Source organism: Homo sapiens, chromosome 4, assembly GCF_000001405.40.
Source record: "Homo sapiens chromosome 4, GRCh38.p14 Primary Assembly".
Classification (NCBI taxonomy): Eukaryota; Metazoa; Chordata; class Mammalia; order Primates; family Hominidae; genus Homo; species Homo sapiens.
Window position 1 is genome coordinate 44,852,411 of NC_000004.12, and position 19,124 is coordinate 44,871,534.

At 37.6% G+C, this 19,124-nt stretch overlaps 2 annotated features.

Annotated features, from left to right (window-relative positions):
* Nucleotides 10,760-11,617: an enhancer, noted in NCBI's record as "OCT4-NANOG-H3K27ac hESC enhancer chr4:44865187-44866044 (GRCh37/hg19 assembly coordinates)". NCBI's record gives its function as "activates a minimal SCP1, AML or CMV promoter by ChIP-STARR-seq in naive H9 embryonic stem cells {active_cell/tissue: H9 hESC(naive)}" and the evidence as "EXISTENCE:reporter gene assay evidence [ECO:0000049][PMID:30033119]".
* Nucleotides 11,618-12,473: an enhancer, noted in NCBI's record as "OCT4-NANOG-H3K27ac hESC enhancer chr4:44866045-44866900 (GRCh37/hg19 assembly coordinates)". NCBI's record gives its function as "activates a minimal SCP1, AML or CMV promoter by ChIP-STARR-seq in naive and primed H9 embryonic stem cells {active_cell/tissue: H9 hESC(naive and primed)}" and the evidence as "EXISTENCE:reporter gene assay evidence [ECO:0000049][PMID:30033119]".

The following is a 19,124-nucleotide window of genomic DNA, read 5'->3' on the forward strand; positions in this document are numbered from 1 at the left end:
CTTCCACACAGAGTCCCTACTGGGGCACTGCCTAGTGGAGCTGTGAGAAGAAGGGCACCATCTTCCAGACCCCAGAATGGTAGATCCACTGACAGATTGCACTGTGCACCTGGAATAGGTGAAAACACTCAATGCCAGTCCATTAAATCAGCTGGGAGGGAGGCTCTACCCTGTAGAGCCACAGGGGCAGAGCTGCCCAAGACCATGGGGACCCACTTCTTGCATCAGTGTGACCCGGATGTGAGACATGGAGTCAAAGGAGATCATTTGGGAGCTGTAAGATTTGACTGCCCTGCTGGATTTCAGACTTGCATGGACACTGTAACTCCTTTGTTTTGGCCAATTTCTCCCATTTGGAACAGTTCTATTTACCCAATGCCTGTACCCCCATTGTATCTGGGAAGTAACTAACTTGCTTTTGATTTTAAGGGCTCATAGGTGGAAGGGGCTTGCCTTGTCTCAGATGAGACTTTGGACTGTGGACTTTTGAGTTAATGCTTAAATGAGTTAATACTGTGGGGGACTGTTGGGAAGGGATGATTGGTTTTGCAATGTGAGAACATGAGATTTGGGAGGGTCCAGGGGCAGAATGATATGGTTTGGCTGTGTCTCCACCCAAATCTCATCTTGAATTGTAACTCCTACAATTCCCACATGTTATGGGAGGAAGCCGGTGGGAGGTAATTGAATCATGGGGGTGGGTCTTTCTGGTGATGTTCTCATGATAGTGAATAAGTCTTACAAGATCTGATGGTTTTAAAAATGGGAGTTCCCTGCACAAGCTCTCTCTTTGCCTGCTGCCATCCATGAAAGACGTGACTTGCTCCTCCTTGCCTTTCACCTTCTGCCATGATCGTGAGGCCTCCCTAGCCACGTGGAACTGTAAGTCTAATAAACCTCTTCGTTTTGTAAATTTCCCAGTCTCAGGTATGTCTTTATCAGCAGCATGAAAACGGACCAATACAGATATCATTTGTTCATTTTTGCTTTAGTTGCCTATGGCTTTGACATCTTACTCAATAAATCTTTGCCCAGACCAGTGTCTTGAAGCATTTCTGCAATGTTTTCTTTCAGTCATTTTATAGTTTCAGGTCTTATATTTAGCTCTTATTTCATTTTAATTTTATTTTGGTATATGGCAAAAGATGAGGGTCCAGTTTCATTCTTCTGCATATGAATATCCAGTTTTCCTAGCACCATTTATTGAAGAGTCTGTCTTTTCCCCAGTGTATGCTCTTGGTGCCTTTGTTGAAAATGAGCTGCTGTAAATGCATGAATTTATTTTTGTGTTCTCTATCCTGTTTAATAGGTCTGTGTTTCTCTTTTTAATGCCAGAACCATGCTGTTTTGTTTATTATAGCTTTGTAGTACAATTTGAAGTCTGGTAATACAATGCTTCCAGTTTTGCTTTTTACTCTGAATGGCTTTGGGTATTCTGGGTCTTTTGTTCTTCCACATAAATTTTAGGACTTTTTTTTTCTGTTTCTGTGAAGAATGTCACTGGTATTTTGAAAAAATTGCATTGAATCTATAGATTGTATTAGGTAGTATGGACATTTTAACAATATTGATTCTTCCAATTCATGAATATGAATTATCTTTCCATTTCCTCTGTCCTTTTTAATTTATTGTGTCAATGTTTTATAGTTTTCATTGTGGAGATCTTTCACTTCTTTGATTAAGTTCATTTTTAAGTATTTTACATTTTTTTGTGGCTATTGTAAATGAGATTGCTTTCTTGGTTACTTTTTCAGAAAAAGTTTGCTGTTGTAATATAAAAATGGTACTGATTTTTGTCAGTTGATTTTGTATCTTGTAACATTACTGAAATCATTTATCAGTTGTATCGGTTTTTGTGGTGGAGTCTTTGATTTTCCCAAATATAAGATCATATTGTCTGCAAACAAGGACAATTTGACTCCTTCCTTTCTAATTGGCATGCTTTTTATTTTTTGTTCTTGTCTAATTGCCATGGGTAGAACTTCTAGTATTATGTTAAATAAAATGGTGAAAGTGGGCATTCTTGTCTTGTTCCAGATCTTAGAGGAAAGGCTTTCATTATTTTTCCTGTTAAGTATCATATTAGTTGTGAGTTTCTTATAAATGGACTTTATCTTACATGGAAGCTAAAAATTGGTATCATGGAGTTGAAGAGAGTAGAATGATAATTAGCAGAGTCTCACAAGAGTAGTGAAGAGGGGAGGGTAAAGAGGGGTTGGTTAATGGCTACAAAAATACAGTTAGATAGCAGAAATAAGATCTAATATTTGGTAGCACAATAGGATGACTATAGTTAGCAATAATTTATTGCATATTTCAAAATAACTAGAGGAGTATATTTGAAATTTTTCTGACACAAAGCTATAATAAATGTTTGAAGTGATGGATGTCCCAATTATCTTGATTTGACCATTATAAACTATATCCTTGTATCAAAATTTCACGTGTACCCCATAAATATGTACAACTATTATGTACCCATAAATTAAAAATAATAACAAAGATAAATCTAAGACAATAATATGGAATTTCACCAATTTATTGTTTATTTTCTTATGCTATCATTTTCTTAATTTGTAAATAGACACATTAACCTTTTAAGAACAGAACAACTACCAAATGTTTTTACATAATATTTTATTGTTGCAAGTATTTACTTGGTGACTATAAAGACCTCTTCCATAAAGAACTCTAGAGCACTAAATAAGAACCAATGAGTAGTAGTTTTTAGGAAGTCTCATCATCTTGTGGAATAATAGTAGAACCATTGTGCTGTGTAGATTCATGTTGAAGTGTTTAAACCCCCTTGTGCATTTTTAAATTGTCAGTAATGTGTTGACAAAAGCATTGGCAGGCCAGTTTGAGCTGAAAGAGACTGAGGCTGAGATTATAGCCTGCAAGCAGATGGTGAGGTTGTTCAGCAAGCAAGGAAGGCATATTCCCCAATATCCTCCTCAAAAGTAGTCAAGGTGATTATTAAAAAGAAGATATCTAGGACCTTTTGGAAAATGGATTTTGTCACCCTATTCAACCCCATCTTTGGACACTAAGAGATTTTCCAAGATGGACATTTGTTAAAAGTATAGGAGAAAAATGTTCTGCTATATACTGTACTCTCCTCAGGGCATTGGCTGCCTACTTTGACTATATTTGCATTTTCGTAACTAAGAGAGACCCTAAAATATTTACCTCTATAATAACAAAAATCTGCCCAGAAAAGACTTGCCTATTTACCTATTGCCATAGAAAGTCTTCGAGTTTGCAATTCTCATGTAGTTGTAAAGTTTCCTTTGGTGATGTCAAGTTGGAAATCAACTTGCTTCATTTTTAGCATTGGAAAGTAAAAGTTTCCCCCTCCCCTTTTTTTTGAGTTATCATTTCTTCAATGCCAGTATTGAAGACTAGTTTCCCATTGCACTTAATATTACACCAGGTATTTCTGTATTAAAATGTGTGAACCAATGTTTACTTAGAATTTTCCCACTCTTTCTTTTTATCTTTTAATGCTATAGAGTATAGTAAATTGTAAAGTTGTAGCACTGAATAGATTTGGTTGTTGAATCTCAATCCATAAAATGAAGTATTTCTATACTGTTTTAAACATTAAACTACAGCTTAAAAATTACTCTTTGTTGATTTCTTTAAAATTTAAAGGATTTAATATGAAATCCTCTCCAAGAAAGATTTTTTTTTAATATTCCAAAGCTCATGTATCCAAATGTACAGTGGGAGGTAACCCCAATAAATGTAATGGTGGAGAGAAAATAGCTCTCTTGCTTGGTAAAAGAAAAATAATAACTGAATCACTTGATATGGTAATATGTGGATGAGGGATAAGATTTATTCTTTTAGCTTCAAATGTCAGAATGAAGAAAAATGGGCAGGTATCTTAGGGAGGCAAATTCAATAGAATGAACCATGGTTTTATGTAGACCCTGAATGATCCTAAGTGGCAGATATTGCAGACTGTTACACAGAATGGGAGTTGAACAGTTTGTATGCTAAGGTATTCTCCAAATTAAAAACTAAGATTTCACAAATTTCAAAATTTGAGAAAGGTGTAAACTTGATCCAGATATGTCTCAGATCTTTTTTTTTTTTTTCTGAGACAGAGTCTCGCTCTGTCGCCCAGGCTGGAATGCAGTGGTACGATCTTGGCTCACTGCAAGCTCTGCCTCCCAGGTTCACACCATTCTCCTGCCTCAGTCTCCTGAGTAGCTGGGACTACAGGCACCCGCCACCACGCCCGGGTAATTTTTTGTATTTTTAGTAGAGATGGGATTTCACCGTGTTAGCCAGCCAGATCCTTTTTAAACTACCTTTTTACTTAGAATAATCTTTAGAACCATTTTTTTCTTCCATGAGAAAATTGTTATTTATCGTAAAAAATTATTTCTTGATTTTCAGTCTTTCTTCTTGTATGCATACCTTTCAATTTCTTTTAAACTTATGTCTTCTTCTTTTACCTCGTGATGCACATTAATTTATAGTACTTAGGAGATCTCTGAGAAAACAATCTGGATTATCACACAGTTTCTGTGCTGGTGCCGGCTGTAGTAAGAATCTTTGGGGGAAAATGACTGTGATGTAGATAAAGATTCAAATAGAAGCTTATAAGAAGTACATTAGAATAAATACGGCTCATGTTATGTAAGAACAGACTGAGCATTATAAAAACTAATTATGTAAGATTTATACTCTTTAAATCTTAGGATTACTATGACCTATTTTCATTGCTAAAAAAATGGAAAAAAACCCAGAATTCCTAATAATTTGAAAGTACAGCTATGAGTAGAAGGCAATATTATAACCAAAAAGTTGACCGTAATTTAAAGTCTTTAATGTTAAATTAATTTAAGTCTTTTATTTCACAGAAAATTCTTTAAATACTAATGTGAACTCTAGAATGGATAATAAAGCCACATCCCCTTAAAACACACAAATATTTTCTTATATCAACCTTCTTTTATATAGTAGAGAGGAGTGACCTCATGAGATGGGACACAAGACAACCACACTATATGCAGCAAGAGTAGAGGAGAGAGAGTCCAGAGGGCAGAACCCCAAGGGTTGCAAACATATAGGCCAAAGAGATCCTTGGTAGCTGAGGAAGAGCATAAAGACATTGAATTGCTAGTAGGAAGAGAGGAACCCAATGGAAATAGATGTGAGGGAGCACTCTGACAGAAGACAACCTAAACTGGTAAAACCGCTTAAAATTTATGCTAGAAAACTTTGGAAATTTTAGATCTGGTATTATCTCTGGCAAATTTTTTAGGCTATATACGCATCCTTCTCTTTACCCATACACCAGAAAAAACTCTACTTCACAACGGTTAGTATTTAGATAGAATGGTATACGTGAAAGCATACTATATACTTCTAAGGGTTATGCATGCATTATCAAATTATATTGATGATGATTGTCTTAAGATTTTATCTGAGATCTGAATCATATACAAAACAATTAACTGAGAATTAAAGCTAATTATACTGCTGAATATTTGAGGGCAACATCAGTTTCTCCTAAGAAAAACCTCTGGATTATTTTACCAACTAGTTCTGGCAATCTTAGCTACATGAGCAATCTGATTCTACTGTAACCTGGAATTTGGGCAGAAGTTCTGGCTAGAGGATTAACATAGGGAAAGCAAAGAGTAAGCAATTTGTTAATGATAGCACAGCTGAATATCAGACTGTTTCGACATCCCAATGTTTTCCTGATTCTTCAGGCTCACCATCCCACTCCCTATTTGCTTGGTGTTTTTACAGTTGTCTGATCAGAGGATAAATAAATGTTAGCTCACAATGGAGATCTGGTGACCTCAAGGATTGTGTGGTAGATTGCAATTACCGTACAATCTGGGGACTTGTGAATTGCTTTCAACATAATCATCATGGTTTTCCACCAAAACTTTTTGTTCTTAATTTTACTTTCTAAACTTCTCACCCAGTCTTGAAAGTTTAAGAAAATCTATCCTTATTTTAAGGTATGTGTTATTTCTATTTAACATTGGTTACACTTCACCGTATATGCAATTAATGCCTGTGTGTGTGCATGTACATTAGATATCCTGTTTTAAATGCCTTAATTACTAAAAAAAAAAAAACCCTAGCATATGCCCAAAATAATAAAAGTTTCATAATTCTAAATATGTTTGACCCTTTCATAACTTCTGAAAATGTTTCTTTCTATGAGTGTCACAAAATTACAGACATTTGTACAAATTGTCTGTAATATCAAATTGTCTGGGTATATCAACTTCTACTGACTATTTGAAGAGAGTATAAAAACAAAAATCAGAAATTTTATGTTCCAGAAAGCTATCTTCTTGTCAGCATATGTTGTCTCATGTGTTGATGTTAATAATATTAAATTACAAGGTGCATTTTTCATCTTCAACTAGAGACATTTCCTACTGAATTTCTGTAAAAATTATTTAAAAAGCTCTTAAACCAGATTTATATGTGGGTTGAAAATTGTAGAGGTGTTTAGAAGAGCTGCTGTTTTTGGTGATTGCGATGAACAGTTTTCTACACCAATGATTGAGAATTAATTTACTATCCTGTGTCCTCACAATGTAATGATTCAAAATATCTACTTGATTAGAGAGACTTTTACACCCAAGAAACAAACTAACCTGTCCTGTTAGCTATGGGATGATATTCTGTCACTGATCTTATTTCTAGTAGAATGGTTAAGAGCAAGGGCTCTAGATCCAGAGTGCTCAGGTTTGAATCCAACTCTGCCGTTTTTTTGCACTGGGCTGCGAGTTGGCTGATATACACCAGGATGGTTCTCTCTCCGTTGTGATTGTTTGTGCCTCTGCTGTTATTCCATAGTTTGAATGTCATCTCTGTACCACTGTATAATACCACTGTATAACCTTGGTTAAGTAACTTCTTTCACTTATGTCTTCATTTTCTTAACTGAAGGATAAAATTGGTATATATCTCATTGCGCTATTGTGAGGATAAAATTTGTAAATACCTATAGAGAGTTTTAAAAGCTCCTGTCACAGAGTGAGTGCTTAATAATGCTTTCATTATTTTTTCTCTCCTGCTGGCTCCTTCTCTATCTCTGTTTCTGCCTCTCACTTTCTCTTTGTTCTTTCTGAAATTATGCTCTCATGATTGTAAATGTAAGGAAAAAAGGTGAGACAGGAGAAAAACAAAGAAAGTAGGGATACTAGCTAGGAGGTTATTTCAACTGCCTGTTCATGAGGTAAAAAGGAAGGGCTTTATCTAACATAGCTGAGAGTGGAAAGCAAGGGCTAATTGTAACAGCTGACATTTATTGAGCCTTTACGACGTGCTGGGCACTGTTTTAAGTGGTATCCCAAATTCATTCTGCCACAGATATTTTCTCTAGGTACATTTATCAACAAGCCAAGGACTCTAGAATTTAGTGAAGTTAAATAACTTGACATCTAATCAGGGACAGACTTGGAATTTTAATCTGGGTCTTTGAAAGTACAAAACCTATGCCCTTAACTACTATTTATTGCTTCTCTGCAGGGAATATTTGTATCCAGGCATTGCATCTGAATGAATCAAAGGAACCCAGTCAATATGGCTTGAGTTACTCAAAAAAGCTGTTAGAAGATTGCATTTTAATTTTTTGGCTCATTGTTTTGATAGTCAGGAAGAAGGCTTTCATCAGAAGTTGCTTTCCTTTTGATTTTTGAACACAAGAGTTTTCTTATGGACAACAGAACACCAGTGAAAAAGGAGGACTCGTTAGCCTTATCTCTGTAAATGGGTTCAACCACTAGCTATCTGGAGCTGCCCCATACTATTTTATTTGGGCACAAGATGGTAAATAGCAAAACTGCCCTTTAAAAATAAGTCCTTTCCCCATAACTCTTTTTCATCCTTGCTGTGTCCTGGTCACCAGTATCTGAGGAAATTAAATAAAGTTTGCTTTCTTTTGCTCTGAAGGAGAAGCAATGAAAAATTCTTTTTATAAATGATCCCCTTCTTTGCACAAATGAAATATCACTTCTTAACATAATTTGCAGCAACTCTTACTATTTATTCCCCTGAATTCACACATTAGTTAAATCAGTCATGGAATGCACACATGAGAAGCTGATGATAAACTAGAATTTTGGTTGATCCAATTTTTCTTGCTTAAAAATATTAGAATGAGAATGAGTTTGGGAGACAAATGTCTCTAAATAGGATTTCTATTTATATGTACCATATACCATACTATACTCAAGGATTTAAGAGGAAAACCCAAAATCTAGTTACACTGTCAAGCATAGACATTACACATATATATAAATACATATTTTTATATATACAGTTCGTCCATGTAAATTAAGGACACTTACTCCACTTCACTGTGCACTTGCCAAAATTGCCTATTGTAGTCCTCTGAGATCCTCTTGTCTCTCTAAACTATAGTGCATTGGCAGGAAGACTTATGTAGCTAGTCCTGTATTTTAATCAAATAACAACTTGTATTTGAGTGCTTCTAAGAAAGTTTTGCAGTGATAGGGGTTTATCTTATTTTGTTGCAGTATTTTACATACCACATTTCTACCTCATATTTCTATATTTTTCTCTTAAACTATAGCAAGTCCATTTATGGGTGATTGTCACACAAAATGGAAAAAATACACTGTCTCCCTAATGTAGAACTGAAACAGGTATGTTGCTCTTGGGAGTACCCTGGAACCATATTCTGTATATAAGTGGCTAGATAGGCAACTACCTGTATATTCTGCATTTTTTATCTCTTTCTTTTTTTTTTTTTTTTTGAGATGGAGTCTTGCTCTGTCACCCAGGCTGGAGTGCAGTGGCGCCATCTCGGCTCACTGCCAGCTCTGCCTCCTGGGTTCACGCCATTCTCCTACCTCAGCCTCCAGAGTAGCTGGGACTACAGGCGCCCGCCACTGCATTTTGTATCTCATAGTGTGGTATTAGGTTATTACTACGTTTACTTAACCTTCTTTGTGTTTCTGTTCAACTGATAGGCATGGGCCAAGTCTACAGATAACATATGGTTTAGAATCAAAGAAACTTACGAAGCGGGGTTGGCAATACATGTGACTCTCTTGGGTGACGTGGTTTTGCTCTAGAAGAAAGACCTGGTTTCCCTGAAGCTTTTCATATTGGAGGAGATTTGGAGTAATGAAATTATCCTAATTGGAACACTCTGAGCTTAAGAATATGGATTTCATTCTTGCTGGGCATCCCCTTATGTCTCTTTCCATGTCAGCTTTGGTTTAACTGGAGGGCTTGTCACTCACAACCTCCCAGCTCAGAGAGCTGATTTTAAGGCTACTTGAGGAGGAGCTGCGGGGGTCTTCCAGGGAACCAACTGTTCTTTTTTGCTTTGCTATCTCCTATAAAATGTTGCAAGTTAAAAAAAAAAAAAAATCTCCTCCAAACATTTGGCAGAATTTTGTATAAACTTAGTCTCTAAATTAACTTTCTTAAAAGCTTTATACCAAAGGGAAGTTATTCATGAGTATTGGGAAACAAGAGCTATAATTCAACTTGAGTCAAACAGTCACTATCAGATTCATTTCCTCTCTAGTGAGAGGAGGAAGTAAGACAAGATGATCTCTCATCCCTAATAAATTTGTGATTCTGCAACAACTTGCAGCATTAGATAAATTTACTAAAGGAAGTGACTCAATTTCTATGCATCTGCAAAGCATGTCTTTACAACTTTTTCACCAAAAATATCCCTCCATATTCCATATTTTTATTTACTTTATTATTCCAGTCTTTTATAAACTGTAAGGTAACAAAACAAGAGACTGCTATATGTTGCTTCAGAAGATAGTGACTTAAATTTATCTTACTATATTTTAAATTCACTAAATAAAGATGCCTTCATTATAATTGTGTCTCAAAAGCTTACGACACTTGCATCTTTTCTCTTAATATATGTCGAGGTGGCTGCCAGAAAGAACTTTATAATATTTTATATAAACAAAGGCCAAATCAAATGCCTTTTGTGTAGTGATCACAAATAAAATGATCATGTAGTGTAAATAGCAGTGTTTCATATTAACTCTACCTCCTCTTAGAAAACATAAACTTTTTAATATCTCTAACAAATGATTAAAAATAAACTAATTTTAGATGACAGCAGTAAAGTGACCATGTTTACTTTTCTTTCTTTAGCATCTGTCTATTGAGTAGTAAAATAATGTTATTATTTGTCAGTAAACATAAGATAAACTGGGCAATATCAGTGTCTTTTAAGTGCAAATTAGTTTATACCACAGAAATAATTTTTTTAGAATGAATATGAAGCGCTGTATTTCAGTAAAAATTTTTCAAGATTTTTTTTTTCAATCATAATGTACTTAAGTCCCCAGAATGAATCAAAGGCTTTTATTATTTCAAAGGATTTGTCATTATTTTAGCTTAGGGAAAATGGAAATCAATGTAAAATAGTTTCGAATCTGAGTTAAGTGTGTATGTAAAATTTATTTTCAAAACCAGTAGTACTTGGAAGCCCCTTTATAAGCCTTAGAGTGGGGATTTTAGAACTGCAGTTGTTCTTCTTCTGAGCAAATGAGAGTAAAATACCCCTATTAGGTCCCTGCCAGCAAATATCTGTAATATGTTTCAAAAGTACTACATAAAAAGACTAATGAGTAAACTGCAATTCTAAATAAATAAATGTATTTTATTTAGACCAGGATTCCTCAACCTTGGGGCACTATTGACATTTTAGGTCAGATAGTTCCTTGTTGTGGGGTGCTGTTTTTCACATTGTAGAATGTTCAGCAGTATCTCTGCCCTCTACCCACTAAATGCCAGTGACTTCCAGTTGTGAAAACCAGAAATGCCTCCAGGCGTGACAAATGTCTCCTAAGGGGCAAAATTGCCCCCTGCTACATTGAAAACAAGTGTTTTAGGCAAAACAATGTTTTCTCAGATTGGATGCTGCTGCCAGGTTCTGACAGGGGGAACCTGGCATTGTAGTAGGGAATTCCTGGGATGACCAGCAGTCTTATGTGCATAGAAGAGTAATGTTCATTGCTATTTCTGTTCAGATACAGAGGTGCTAGGGGTGATCCTTGATGGTGGATAGCGTTCTGCAGGTTCTTTATCCAGGTTTTCCTAAGTGTGTAGCATTGTTTATAGAAAGTGGGATTGTAGTCTCTCTGTCGGCAGCCTCTGCAAAGGGCATTACATTTCTACTGTCTATCTCATTAAATCTCCACAGGTCCTCACTAACGCTGTCTTCAAAATCCTTCCAGCTTCTGCCCACTTCCTGGGCACTCTCCCATTTCCAAAGTTACTCCCCTATTTTTTAGTTTTGTCATGGCAGCACTCCATTTCAAGGTACCAGTACCTCTTTTGGTTACTTATTGTTACATAATTAATTACTCCCAAACTTCATGTTTTAAAATAATAATAATCTTAGTATTTCACACAGTGGTGGTGTTCAGAAATTCAGGAGCTGCTTCACTGAGTGGTTCTAGCTTGGTGTATTTTGTGAGGTTATGGTCAAGATGTCAACCAGTACTGCAGTGATCCAAAGCTTTGATTAGAACTGCAGGATCCATTTACGTGATAAATAGCTGTTAGTAGGAATCTTTAGTCCCTTGCTGGCTGTTGGCAGGAGGCCTGCTTGGGAATGCCTGGAAATCTTCATGACACGGCAGGGGGCTTCCCCCTGAGCTAATGATCTGAAAGGAAGTATGGCAGAAATGCAAAGTATTTCATGACTTAACTTTGAAAGTCACAGGCTCTCATTTTGTCTGTATTCTACTGGTTACAAAGTCAGGTATAGTCAGTGTGGGAAGGGACTACATAAGAGTAAATTACCGCCAGGTGCGGTGGCTCACGCCTGTAATCCCAGCACTTTCGGAGGCAGAGGAACGCAGATCACTTGAGGTCAGGAGTTCAAGACCATCCTGGCCAACATGATGAAACCCCATCTCTATTAAAAAATACAAAAATTAGCTGGGCGTGGTGGCGGGCGCCTGTAATCCCAGCTACTCAGGAGGCTGAGGTAGGGAGAATTGCTTGAACCCAGGAGGCGGGGTTGCACTGAGTGGAGATCGTGCCACCACACTCCAGCCTGGGCAACAGAGTGAGACTGTATCTCAAGGAAAAAAAAAAAAAAAAGAAAAAGAAAAAAAAAAAGAGTAAACTACCAGGAGGCATGCACCATTGGGGACCATCTTGGTAGCTGGCTACGCCAATCTCCGAGTTTGTACCCATTGTTTTCTTGGTTATCAGTCACAATTTCTGTCATTATGTGGGTCTGGTAATGTGATTGTATGTTGGGTTTTGGGGTTTCTTTTCAACCTTTATTTTAGCTTCAGGGGGTACATACACCAGTTTGTTACAAAGGTGTATTGTGTGATGGTAAGGTTTGGAGTATAATTGAACTTGTCTCCCAGGTAGTGAGTATAGTACCCAACAGGCAGCTTTTCACCCTTGTCTCCTTCCCTCTCCCCTCCCTCTTGTAGCACCATTGTCCATTCTGTCCATCTTTATGTCCATGTGTACCCAATGTTTAGCTCTCACTTATAAGTGAGAACATGTGGTATATGTTCTGTTTCTGTATGAGTTCACTTAGGATAATGGCTCCAGCTGCATCCGTGTTGCTGCAAAGGACATGATTTTATTCTTTTTTGTGGTTGCATAGTATTTCATGGTGTATATATACCACATTTTCTTTATCCAGTCCACTTTGATGGGTACCAGGGTTAATTCCATGTCCTCACTATTGTAAATAGTGCTGCAATGAAGACACAGGTCTTTTTCATAGAATTCTTTTTCATAGAATTATTTTCCTTTGAGTAGATACTCAGTAATGGGATTACAGGGTTGAATGGTAGTTCTATTTTAAGATCTTTGAGAAATCTCCAAACTGCTTTCTATAGGGACTGAGCTAATGTAAATTCTCACCAACAGTGTTTAAGCATTCCATTTTCTCTGCAGCCACACCAACATCTGTTATTTTTTGACTTTTTAATAATAGTCGTTCTGACTAGTGTGAGATGATATCTAATTGTGGTTTTGATGTACCTATTGTGGTTTTGATGTACATTTATCTAATAATTAGTGGTGATGAACATTTTAAAATATATTTGTTGGATTGTTGTCTTATTTCAAAAAGTGTCTACTCATGTCTTTGCTAACTTTTTAAAGAGATAATTTGTTTTTTCTTATCAATATTTTTGAGTTCTTATGAAGTCTGAATATTAGACCTTTGTGGACTGCATAGTTTGTGAACATTTTTCCCATTCTGTAGGCTGTTTATTCTGTTGATGGTTTCTTTTGCTGTGCAGAAGCTGTGGAGAGCATCCCAAATGTCAATTTTTGTTTTTGTTGCAATTGCTTTTGAAGACTTATGACTATGTCCTTAAAAGCAATTAGCCATATGACCTCTAAAACCAATGTTGAGGCTGATGTTGAGAAGGGTATTTTCTGGGTTTTCTTCTAGGGTTTTTATAGTTTGAGGTCTCATATTTTTAATCCAATTTGAGTTAATTTTTGTATATGTGAAAGGTAGGGGTCCAGTTTCATCCTTTGTATATGGATAGCCAATTATCCCAGTATGATATATTGCACAGGGAATCTTTTCTCTATTGCTTATTTTTGTCAACTTTGTTGAAGATCAGATAATTATAGGTGTTTGGCTTAACTTCTGGGTTATTTCTTCTGCTCCATTGTTCTGCATGTCTATTTCTGTACAGTGCCATGCCATTTTGGTTACTGTAGCCTTATAGTGAAGTCAGGTAATGTGATGCCAGCTTAGTTTGTTTTACTTAGGATTGTTATGACTATTTGGGCTTGTTTTGGGTTCATTTGAATCTTAGAATATGTTTTTTTAATTCTGTGAAAAATGACGTTTTTATCTTGATAGGAACAGCATAGAATCTGTACATTGCTTTGGGCAGTATAGCTGTTTTAAGAATATTAATGCTTCCCAGGCCAGGAGCATAGAATGTTTTTCCATTTGTTTGTGTCATCTATAATTTTTTTCAGCAGTTTTGTATTCTCCTTGTAGGGATCTTTCACCTCCTTGGTTAGATTATGATCCCCAATTGATCCCTTTATCATGATGTAGTGTCCTTCTTTGTATTTTTTGTTTTTTTACTGTTGTTGGTTCCTAGGTACTTTATTTATTTTGTTTGTGGCTCTTGTAAATGTGATTAGGCTCCCGATTTGGCTCTCAGCTAGAATGTTATTGGTATATAAGAATGCTCCTGATTTTTGGATATTAATTTTGTATCCTGAAACATTACCGAAGTTGTTTATCTTTCCAAGAGGCTTTTGGCAGAGTCTTCAAGTTTTTCTAGGTACAGAATCATCTCATTAGTGAAGAGAGATAGTTTGACTTCGTATTTTTTTATTTGGATGCCTTTTATTTCAGGTTTTTCTAGACATAGAATAATTTCATCAGTAAAGAGAGATATTTTGACTTCTTATCTTTCTTTCTGGATGCCTTTTATTTCTTTCTCTTGCCTGCTTGTTCTAGCTAAGACTCCCAATACTATGTTAAATAGGAATGGAGAGAGTGGGCATCTTTGTCTTGTTCCAGTTCTCAAAGAGAATGCTTCCAGCGTTTGCCCTTTTGGTATGAAGTTGACTGTGAGTTTGTCATAGACAGCTCTGATGATTTTGAGGTATGTTTCTTTGATGCCTACTTTACTTAAGTTTTTATCATGAAGCATCATTGGATTTTATCAATTTTCTGTATCCATTGAGATGATCATATGGTTTTCGTTTTTAATTCTGTTTATGTAGTAAGTAACATTTATTGATTTGTGTACATTGAACCAACTTTGTATCTCAGCCTACATGATCACAGTGAATTACATTTTGAGGTGCTGCTGGATTTAGTTTGCTAGGATTTTGTTGGGGGTTTTTGTATCTATATTCATCAGGGACATTGGCCTCTAGTAGTTGTTTTTTTCACTGTGTCTTTGACAGATTTTGGTATCAGGATAATGCTGGCTTCACAGAAAGAGTTAGGGAGGAGTCCCTCCTCCCTGAGTTTTTGGAATAGTTTCAGTAGGCTTGGTATCAGTTCTTCTATGTGTGTCTAGTAGAATTTGGCTGTGCATCTACCTGCTCCAGGGCTTTTTCTTGGTTGGTAGGTTTTTAATTACTGATTCAGTTTTGGGATTCTTTATTGATCCATGCAGTGTTTTAATTTCTTCCTGGCTTAATCTTTGGTTGTGTGTGCCCAGGAATTTATCCATTTCATCTACATTTTCTAGATTGTGTGCATAGAGGCATTTGTCATAGTCTCCGAGGATCTTTTTTATTTATATGGGGCTGGTTATAATGTAACCTTTGTCATTTCTGATTGCATTTATTTGAATCTTTTATTTGCTAATATAGCTAGGGGTGTATAAATCTGTTTATATTTTCAAAAAACTAACTTTTGGTTTCATGGTCCTTTATATGGGTTTTTGGGTCTAATTTTATTCAGTTCCGCTCTGATTTTAGTTATTTATTTTCTTCTGCTAGCTTTAGGTTTAGTTTGTTCTTGTTTTTCTAGTTCCTTCAGGTGAAATGTTAGATTGTTAATTTGAGATCTTTCTAACTTCTTGATGTAGGTGTTTAATGCTATAAACTTTCTTCTTAACGCTGCTTTTGCTGAATTCCAGATATTTTTGTATGTTGCATCTCATTAATTTCAAATGATTTTTTAATTTCTGGCTTAATTTCATTGTTTACCCCAAAATAATTTAGGAAAGCATTGTTTAATTTCTATGTTATTTTGTGATTTTGAGAGATCTTCTTGGTATTGATTTCTATTTTTATTCCACAGTGGTATGGGAGTATACTTGGTATGATTTATATTCTTTGAATGTATTCAGACTTGCTTTATGACTGAGCGTGTGATCAATCTTATAGTATGTTCTATGTGCAGATGAGAAGAATGTATATTCTGTGGTTGTTGAATGAAGATCTGTGCATGTCTATTAGGTCCAATTGGTCAATTGTTGAATTTAAGTCAATAATTTCTTTGTTATTTCTCTGTCTTAATGATTTGTCTAACATTGTCAGTGAAGTGTTGATATCCCCCACTCTTATTCTGTAGCCAACTCTTTCTGTAGGTCTAGAAGTAGTTGTTTTATGAATCCAGGTTCTTCAGTGCTGGGTGTGCATATATTTAAGACAGTTAACACTTACTGTTCAGTTGATCCCTTTATCATGATGTATTGTCCTTCTTTGTATTTTTCTTTTTTTACTGTTGTTGGTTTAAAGTCCGTTTTATCTAATATAAGAATAATGACCTCTGCTGCTTCTTGGTTTTTGTTTGCATGATAGAGTTTTCTTTATTCTTTTTTTTTTTTTTTTTTTTTTTTGAGACGGAGTCTCGCTCTGTCGCCCAGGCCAGACTGCGGACTGCAGTGGCGCAATCTCGGCTCACTGCAAGCTCTGCTTCCCGGGTTCACGCCATTCTCCTGCCTCAGCCTCCCGAGTAGCTGGGACTACAGGCGCCCGCCACCGCGCCCGGCTAATTTGGTTCAGTTTGTTTCTTTCAACTCTTGGATCATTGCACTGGATTCCTTGGATTGGTTTTCAGTTTTCTCTTTAATCTTGTTGAATTTCCTTGCTATCCAGATTCTGAATTTTACATCTGTTATTTCAGACATTTTAATCTGGTTGGGATCCATGGCTGGGGAGCTAGTGCAATCCTTTGGAGGTAAGAAAAACACTCCGATTTTTTGAATTGCTAGAGTTCTTGTGCTGATTCTTTCTATTCTGAGAGGGCTAGAGTTTATCTTTTTGAAGTTGTTGTCATTTGAATGGGTCTTTTTGTTTTTATATTCTTTTTTCTCTGAGGATTTGCCTATGATATATGTTGTACATAGTTGATTGGCTTCATTTCTGGGTGCTTTCAGAGGGCTAAGGTTCTGTATTGGTTCCTTAGTTCTAGCCAGATTCATGCATTGGGTTTTGTAGGCAATGTGTTGAAGGAATTTATTTTTGTTTGGTGGTGTCATTTGGGCTGTGATCCAGTAGATGGCTCTTAAGAGTAAAGGCAGGCTGACAGGCTCTTATTCAACCATGTACCTCTTTTGTATTTTGGTGCATTTATAGCAGTGCTCTGGAGAGGGGGCAGGCAAGGGGGTTGGGAGATGACCCCTTCACCAAATCCATTCATGAGCCTTGGCGGAGCCCCCTCCAATTACTGGCACCACACCCACATTTCCTTAGCCTCAAGGTGGGCATTGGAAGACTACACTCCCCCTTCCCACAGGGTGGCCCAGGTTGAAGCTTAGGTCACCATGAAGCCCCACAGCTCCTTGGGGACCCACTGGTCCTCTGAGCTTAACAGAGTCAGAGTAGGTTGTGGGGTATGTCTGGGGGTGGTCTGTTGATGCAGTGGTTCAAAGATACAAGATCCACAGGCAGGGTGGTGGTGCTATAGGTTTGCAGCCATGGGCCGGAGATTTTTGCCCAGCAGACAGCTCCTTGGGGACTGCCCAGCTCATGCTTCCCCAACCAGGCCTCCCTCTGGTGTCTGTCCCAGGAGCAGGCCCAACTTTCTAGTTTTTTCCCAAGCTAGTTTTGTCCAGATCGCTGGGCTATTAGGTGTTCAGGGCCATGGGGCATTCTTGGGTAGAGGCTGCAGCTGGCCAGTAGGCTACACCCTTCTTGGACCAGTCTTGTGGAGGGAGAAACACTCAGCTCTCATGCCAGCACTTAAACTTGCACCTCACTCTTCTCGGTGTTCTGAGATTGGAGACTTCTCCCACACCCAGGCTGGATACCCCTGAGTGCAGTGTGCTTGAACCCTAGAAGGTTGGGACCAGGCTGTGGCAGCTTTGTCCTCTGGTTCCTTGAGGTTGAGCTCTGTACTTTGTGCTTTGGGTGGGGTGGGGGATGTAAACTACTCCCAGGCTGCTGGCAAAACAATTAGGCAGGGAAGTGGAGGCTGTGCTCCGTGCATACTCTTGCAGGAGCAGTCAGGCAGGAGCCTTGGAAGGGACCAGGGGACAAGGGGCTACACAGATCAGATGCTCACCTCTCCCAGGGGAAAGGTAGCCCTACTCTCTCCCAGCCCAGCTTTCAGCAGGGGATAGAGTCACTCAGAGCAAGACAGAGAGCCTTGGGGGATGGGCACCATGATTGCTTTTTACCGCACCTGCCACAGAGAAAACCTCCTGGACACTGCACAGGTTTGAGCCCCTGCCTTTGCCTACTCTCCAGGCGGCTCCTCTGCCAATTCAAATGTCTCTGGGGGTTGTGGGCTCTCTTGTAGCTAGGATCCCAGAGGTCCGTTGCAGGAGTGTGGTGCCCCACAGTTTTTTCACTCACTCCTTATTTAAGTCCTGTTCAGGTCCTGTAACTGGTTCTGGTCCTTGGCAATTCCATGCAAGCTTCCCAGCTTCCTGCCTCTTCAACCTTGGTATCTGAGTCATCTTTCTATTGGCTTTCAGTGTTTTTCTCAAGAGATCTGTTCAAAGTGTCATGATCTACTCAACAGTTTATTTTCTCTCAGTAGGAGAGGCATTTCCTGGCTGTGTCTAGACAGCCATCTTATCCCCCATCTGGGCTTTTTGTTTAAGGAGACTTTGTGTTGAAGCTCCAAATGATACTACCTTTTACCAGAAAGCCTTGGTCTTCTTATATTAGAGAGACAGGGCAAGAGCTGATCACCTCAATCTAGGTAGTAACTGGGTTGAGTCAGGGTTGAATTGCAGGTTTGTTCAGACTGTATATATCTTTGACTTTTCTTTCTTCTGATATGTCCTATCTAAGCTTTTTACTGAGAGCCGGTGAGTCACTATCTCTGCATTACTGAAAAATAGTAAGGGCACTATCGGGAAATCCTAATTACATGTTTAGAGCTCGTGACATTTCCAAATTATTACAATAGCCCTGCATGACTGTCAAAATCTTTTCAAGTTTCTCTCTCTCCCAGCAGAGTACCTCTGTGTGAACCAAGCCATTCTCGGCTTTCACATAAAATTGACAAATGTCACCACAGAATAGGGTTGCTTGTAATGTATCTAGCAACCCTATCACAGAAGAAAATGTCCAGTAACAGATTGCTCTCTCAGAGAGGCTCTTCCCTTTATGACCTGATATTTTAATCCATTGTTCATCTTTTCTTCCATAAATCTATAATGATTTAGCATATATGTATATGTGTGTGCATATAT